Genomic DNA, 7,703 nt, shown 5'->3' with positions numbered 1-7,703 from the left:
CCTTTTAAGTGAGCTTTGGGTTATTACCATAGAATCCGATTTACTTTTCACATGAGGAAAGGGAAGCTCTATGAGTCTCCCCCACCCGCACTGTGCCTGCCTCTCTCGCTCTTCCCCAGGGGCAGAGCCCAGAGCCTCTCCCTTCCTGCAAGCTCAGCTGGGACTCACTCCAACAGACTGCCACTTTATGGTTTGTTTGTTTGCTCCTAAAGACATAAAACCCAAGCTTATCAAACAAAAGTCACACTTAGCCCTGCAGTCTTGAGAGGTAAATTCCACTATTATCTCTGCACTTCAGCCCCCACACAGAACACTTAGTTCCCCAGGGAGCGGGTGACACGCTTCAAGGTCGACCTTTGGCACCCACTCACCCCTTCGGCCATGTGCCCGGTCACGAGGCAGGTGGCATAGGAGAGTCAGCTAGGGAGGTGCCCAGAGACACTGCCCACCAGCCAAGTGCCTCGGGTCAGTTGTTAAACCTTAGAGTCCTCCTCTGTGAAATCCCCTGAACAGTGGAGCTTCCACCAGCTAATTTGTGACAATAATTAATCCAATGATCTGAGAGAGCATTGAACTCAGTGCTTGGCCTTTGAGAAGTGCTCAGCGTTCACACATTACAGCCAACAGAAGGGAGTTGCTTTGTGTTCTCCGGGTCAGGCAGAAGATTGTTCAACCTGAACAGTCGAGCCAGGGACAGTTCTAGAGAGACCTAGAAGATGGGGGTGAAGGTGGAGGGGGTTGAATACTAACAGAAAAAGAAAAGGGGTTTGAGACTCGAAACTAAAGATCAAGGAGAGGTCAGCTCCCATAAATTTTATACAAAGCCCTGCCAGCGTTTTGATAGCTTCAGCCAACATTCTCAAAAATTCTCAACTACCTCTTGCATCATAGCCTCTCTTAGAGGAAAGGAAGTCTTTGCCAGGCTTGGAGGTGGTCCTAGTTCACTTGGCATCTTTGCCCAAGCTACAGGCTAAGTACTGCAGTGAAGAGAAAGCATAACAAGTAACACAGCCTCCAACTTTTTGGAACTTCAATGTGGTATGGTAGCCACAAGGCTTATCCACCAATGTTTCCATTGCTGCTTCTTCTGACCACATCATAGGATTGCACTCACTGCTTCCCACCTCTCCTCACTTTTCAGGTTAGGCATGGCCATGTGATTGCTCTAGCCTGTAAAACATGAGCAGAAGAGGCATGAAGCACTTGGTGAGTGCTTCTAAGAGCTGATGCAGAATTTCCCACATTCCCTTCTTCCTGCCCTGATGCCTGGCAATGCTCCAGATGGCAGAGGCTCTGTCAGCCAATATCTTTGAAAGAGGATGATGGGGAGAAGAGACTCCCACCAAACCAGGGTCAGCTTGTGGTACGAGGCTTTGCCCCTTGCCCTGATCATGCCCATCACTTGGCCACTGAGAGCTGGGTTGGTTTGTTCCTGCAGTGCAACCTAACTCACCCTAAGAAGCCAGCAAGGCAATGCCAGTGCAGAGGAGAAAAGCAGAATCCTGAGACACAAGATGATAAGGAGCGGAGGGTCTGCAGAAGGGCTGGGTAAGAGCTCCTGGAGGAGGGCTGGGGCTGGGCCTTGAAGCCAGCAGGATTTGGAGGGTGGTAAGGAATGGAGATAGCCAGAGGTGGGGAGTGAGTGGAAGGCACAGGTGCCTCAAAAGACTTCTGAATGCCTGAAAAGAAGGTGCCAGCCGAGGAGCTGATATCAGTTTTCTTCTTCCATAGTCTAGATGCATGTGAGGAGCAAGTTCAAGTCAGACTCAATGTCATTTCACCATGATTGGGGCAGAGTGGCACCGGGCCTGGTGGGATCAGAAGGCAGGACACGGCGGACAGCTGGATTGCCCCTTTCTAAATCCAGCTTTCTTCATCCAGGAAGCCTTCTCTGACCCTCCCACCCATAGGGCCCTCTCCTACCCTGAACTCCTCCAGAATTCTGTCTGCTGAAAGAAGGCATGTGGAGTGTGAGAAGACAGCAGGGCTCTGAAGTCAGACCGATGTGGTTTAAATATTGGTTTCTTGTGTTCAATCATCTGACCATTAATTCAACATCTGTAGCATGCCAGGCACTGTTCTACATCCTGGAAATGTGTTCATGTTCAAGAGCTGGGTGTTCTTGGATCCTGTATGCAAATGAGGGAGAGAGAGACAGTCAATAACAACAATAACAAAGCCAAACATGCAAAAAGAAAAAAAGTTGTGATGTTGGAAATTAAGAAAATAACCAAGGGGCTGAGATAAAGAATACCAAAAGGACCTACTTTAGATGAGGTTAATGAATGACTTCCTCTTTGAATGGGCAGCATTTAAAATTGCAATGTACAAGGAGGAAGAATAGTTACTATATAAATAAAACAGAGGAGCATTCTTGGCAAGAGAAAAACGACAGGTACAAGACCGTTAAGTGGGAAAGGTAGGAAAGGGCTTGGGTGGGGCAAGGTTGGAACTGAAGGAAGAGGAGTGTCTCTGGAGAGTACCCTGAGGTAAGGGTGGAGGGTAGAGCTGTGCTTTCCAGGCTATTTTAGGAGATAGATTCAAGGTGCATTTTATAGCACAAACCAGCAAGACTTACTGATGGTTTAGGTAAAGGGAGAAGAGGACCCATTCAAGAAGAGAGAGTCAAGTCACCTGGGGTGGGGATACCGTGCCCTTTACAGGAATGGCAAAGGTGGAGTTGGGAGGATGGAAAGTCTGCTCTGAATGTGCTAGTTTGGAGATATCTGAGATCTCCAAGTGGAAATGTCAGCAGGCAATAGAATCTGCAAGTCAGAAGGAAGCTCAAAGAAGTCCAGGTTGGGGATATAGATTTAGAATGATCGGCATAAGAATAGTATTTAAATCCATGGAATTTCACGAACTCACCTGTGAAGTGAAGAAAGAGGACCCAAGAGGGCCTAAGGGAGACCAAGGAGGAGTCAGAAAAAGGAGGAGGACCTGCAAAGGAGGACCAGCCAGTGAAGAACGAGGAGAGCCTGGAGAGCAGAATGTGGTAGAAACAGAGAGGCAAGAGTTTGCAGAAAAAGGGGTCAATATTGTCACAGGACTAAGATGAAGTCCAAGAGTGGGGCTGGGCCTGGCCAGTTGGAGTCATTGGTGACCTTGACCAAGCAGTCTCAGTACTGGGGAGCAGAGCTAGCCTTCAGTGGGTCCAGGAGTGCATGGGAGTTAAGAGATGGAGACTGCAAACAAATTATATTCTTTGGAGAAATCTGACTCTAAAAGAAAATAGAGGGATTGGGAAGTAGTTGTCAACGGGAGGGGCTGGAGATAGATGAACTGCAGGTGGGAGGAGCATGTCTGGGTGCTGATTGGACTTGCCTAGAAAAACCAAGAGACTAGTGAGAGAGCCAGAGAGGGACAATGAGAGCAATAAGTTCCCAAGGAGCTGGAGAGGATGAATTCAGAGCACAGGTGGAGGGACTTTCTCCATCAGCACAGGAAGAAGCAGAAGAGAGAAGCAGCCAGGATGGGTCCTAGTCTGGTATTGGGAAGATGAGAGTTGAGTGAAGTAATGAAGGGGAAGGGTCCCTTGGAACCAGAGGGAGAGAGCAGGGTGGAAGGGAAGGTGAGAGGAAAAAGAGAAGTAAAATTGTCATCTGGGAGTGGGCAGTGGCCTACTAGAGAGAGTGGTGGGGTTGCCTGGCAGTCTTGAGGGCAAGTGCATGGGCCAAGATCATGAATTTAGAGCAAAATCAGCCAGCCCTATTGTGTGATTATCTCCAAGAACAGGCAACTGCTCTGGAGCAGGCGTGGAGACAGCGGATGGGAGGTTTCATTCAGGGTTGGGACTTTGCCAAGGGGCTGTGACAAAGGATAGAAAGGCAGAGTTGCTGAGAAAATTCACACTGGAATAATGATGAGGAACCATGTAGCAGAGGCTGGACAAAGAAGGAAGGAAGAGGAGCTGGGAAGGAGGCTCAAGAGGGAGGAGGGGGAGTCACTGCATTGAAATTCTCAAGGAAGCCAAGAAACTGAGGCAGTGGAGAATCTTGACCTGCAGGGCTGGGAGGATTGGGAGAGGTGTTTGGAATCCAGATTTGAGGATGGGATGGTACAGGTGTGACTGCAGGAATGGGCACCTGAGGAGCCCAGGAGGGAGTGGCCTCTATGGTGCTGCATGGTCTGTCTGACTGGATGTGAATGCTACCAGGGATGATGATGACATCAGGAGGTGGAGGTGAAGACTCTGACCAGGAGGTGACAATGCTGCCTTTGACCAGCTCTATGAGCCAGGCAAGTCACCCTGTGGCCACAGCAGGCTCTGGAGCACCCCTGCCCAGGTTCTGCCACTTTCTAGATGTGTGACTATGGAGGCTTACTTCCCCTCTCTGCACTTTGATATCTTTACTTGTAAAAATGGGGGAATAATTTACACATGCCTCTTAAAGTTGTTTGAAGACTAATGGAAATAATTCAGGCAAAGCACCCAAAACAGTGCCATAAGTGTTAAATGTCTCCTTTTGTAGTGAGTTAAACTGTGGCACCCTGAAAGACTGCCCCACATCCAACACCCTGAACCTATAAATGTGACATTTTGGGGGTTAAGGATTTTTTTTTTTTTCATATAGAGTCTCACTTTGTCCCCCAGGCTAGAGTCTAGTGGTGCGATCTTAGCTCATTGCAACCTCCACCTCCTGGGTTGAAGTGATTCCTGTGCTTCAGCCTCCTGAGTAGCTGGGATTACAGTCATGCACCATCACACTCAGCGAATTTTTGTCGTTTTAGTAGAGATGGGGTTTCACCATGTTGGCCAGGCTGGTCTCGAACTTCTGACCTCAAGTGATCCACCCACCTCGGCCTCCCCAAGTGCTGGGTTAAGGATCTTAAGGTGACATCATCTTGGATTGTCTTAGTGGGCTTAAATTCAATGACAAGTGTCCTTGTAAGAAACAGGAGAGGACACAGAAACAAAATGACCCCATACACACTCGTGCAAACACACGCCACAGGAGAGAATGCCATGGGAGAATGGAGGAAGAGATTGGAGTGATGCAGCCACAAGCCAAGGAATTCCTGGACCCACCAGAAGCTGGAAGTGGCAAAGAAGGACTTGCCACAAAGCAGCCTTTGGAGTGAGTATGGCCTGCCAACACCTTGACTGTGAATTTCAAGTCTCTAAAACTGTGAGCAAATAAATTTTTGTCGTCTTAAGCCACTAAATTTGTGATAACTTGTGATGGCAGCTCTAGTAAACTGAAATAGCCCTCATGTGCCTGGGCCTCAATAATCTTCACCTTTGGAGACTGACATGAGCACTAAGGAACAAGCTGCGTGAAAACTGCATGTACAAGAAGGTGACTAATAAATATCATCAGGCATCCCTCCCAACCTCCAACACACGGGCATAAGTACACACAGACCTTCACACACATGTGCATTCTTTTGGCCTAAATGTTGCTTTGGGTGCTGGCTACTATTGTCTTACGTGTACCTCTTGCTCAGCAGAGTTGGGATGCAGTCAGACACTGCCACCAGCCATCAGAGATATGCGGATGGCACAAATACATGGGTGTATATGAAATGTGAGAGGGCAAGTGTCCAGAGTGGCCACCAACATCAGACATAATAATGTCAGAGAATTGGGCGGCATGTCTTCAGACCTCCTGTGGTCTCTTGTGGGACCAGGTGAGGGATAAGGTTCCCCTTCCTCTGCTGGCCACAGCCTCAGCTGGGCCCTTCACAGGTGCTGAAGAAGTCCAGCACAGAGGTGCGGGGGAGAGGCCAGCCCTCTTTGGAGCTCAGCAGTTCAGCGTCTTTGGACAGCTAGACTCAGTCATCAGAACTAAACTCACAGACAAGCACTCTGGGAGGTTGAGGCGGGAGGATTGCTTGAGCACAAGAGTTCTAGGACTAGCCTGGGCAATACGGTGAGACCCCATCTCTACAAAATTTTTTTTTAAATTATCTGTGCATGGTGGCACATGCCTGTAGTCCAATATACTTGGGAGGCTGAGGTGGGAGTATTGCATGAGCTGGAGAGGCAGAAGCTGCAGTGAGTTGAGATCACACCACTGCACTCCAGCCTGGGTGATAGAGCGAGACCCTGTCTCAAAAAAAAAAAAAAAAAAAAGAACTAAACACAGAGAGTGGCTGGAATGGGGAAGAGGCAGCCAAGAAAAGTAGGTGGCTCAGGCTGATCAACTGAGGTCAATGTCTTGTCAGTTTCAAATGCTAAGTCCCTGAGAAGCTACTCTCTGCTAAGCAGTGATCACTGCTCTCCTCTTGGTCAGGGTCTTCCTCCCTCGCTGAGTTGTGGGAAATGGGAATCACACATTCAGGATGCCCTCCCTGGGCAAGGCTCGCATCCACTTTGGGTATTTTTCAACTGAAAATCATGGCAGGTTTAAGGAGAATAACGTTAGGTCCCAGAAAACATGACATAGAAGGTTCTTGGCATTTGGGAACACTGGTAGAGTTCTGTCTCTCTGAAACTGGAGTTTTATTTGACATTCCTTGGAATGAAACCAGTTAACTTACTTTATATATTCCTTCAGTTCTTCAAAGGGTTCAGAATCAGACCAAAAAAAAAAAACCCATAAATAATCTAAAAAAAGGTTGTACTTTATCTTGATTTGCTGTTCCCCTCCCCAGCTCTTTATAATAAGGTCTATTTACGGACCCTGAGAAGCAATTACAGGAGAAAAAAATGTAATCTTGGTTCAGTTTTATAACAATGAAAGAGGTTTTTTTTCCTGCCTTGTGGATTATTTTTAAGTCAGTGTGGTATTGTTTACATAAGTCACAACTCACTGAGTCCAAAGTCCTTCAGATAGTACATCTGCCTTATGCATTTAGAAAAGGGGATCTGCAGGCAGGAATATGTTTATTTAATCCACATGGGGCTCCTTTCCCATTGCTTAGGACTCCATGGGTTAGACTTTACCTCTGGATCCGGCTGTCCTCCCTCCCCAGACCATGAGTAATCGGCCACGCTGGCCACACATGGGGTTTTGGTCACAGGGGGTAAGTGTACTCCCTCACACCTCAGGCAGTCTGTCTGTCTGTCTGTCTGCCTAAACCTTCCCAGCCCCACTAGGTAGGTCAGTTCTGTGAGTTGGACCAGGTTGAGGCAACAGGGATATGACCTGTGATGCCTGTGAGAGCCTGGTTCCATTGAGAAAGAGCTCCCAGAGGCCTCTTCCCAGACACCATTGCAAAACAGCCACTGTGACCCAGGGCTGCCCTGGCCTGCTGGTAGGCAAGGACTTTACGCCTGATTTCCTCTGGAGGGAAGTTTTGAGCAGCCTCCATCTGGGTGCTGCCCATTGGTGTACTGTGAAAGGCCATATATGACGGGGTCCCACAGAGGGATGCTATCAGGGGTCTGGAGGGAGATGGGAAGCTTCTCTCATTCCCACCCAACTTAGTACTTCTTTACCTTGTCCAGGCTTGTAGGGTAGCCACATTCTTCCAGAAGCAAGAGCTACATCATCCCACAGACATTCCCTGAGCACCTACTATGTGTCAGTGCTAGGGATGCGAGGATGGCATTCACACAGCCCTTGTTCTCATGGAGCACATAGTCCAGGCCCCCAGAGATTAGGACCTGAGTCCTTCCCTATCATTCCACAGCCACTCCCAGGTCTAGTAATCCTAGGTTCTAGCACACATTAAAGCTGGCGCTCCCAGAGTGTTCGCAAAGCCTGCTGCCCAGATAGTAAGACTGAAGGTGGGAATGAGTGGGTGACCAGGGAAGG

The 7,703-nt window shown here is 48.4% G+C and overlaps 1 long non-coding RNA gene across 1 annotated transcript; it reads left to right on the top strand.

Annotated features, from left to right (window-relative positions):
- Positions 1-1,155: 1,155 nt before the first annotated feature.
- LOC124907868 (uncharacterized) lies at positions 1,156-5,161 on the top strand. The gene is made up of 2 exons (XR_007087189.1): positions 1,156-1,548; positions 1,732-5,161. It is a non-coding gene; the product is annotated as an uncharacterized LOC124907868 (long non-coding RNA).
- The last annotated feature ends 2,542 nt before the right edge of the window (positions 5,162-7,703 follow it).

Source organism: Homo sapiens, chromosome 2 (assembly GCF_000001405.40).
Source record: "Homo sapiens chromosome 2, GRCh38.p14 Primary Assembly".
NCBI classification, from domain to species: domain Eukaryota; kingdom Metazoa; phylum Chordata; class Mammalia; order Primates; family Hominidae; genus Homo; species Homo sapiens.
Note: the sequence above shows the minus strand (reverse complement) of the source record. Positions and strands in the feature narration are given on the sequence as shown.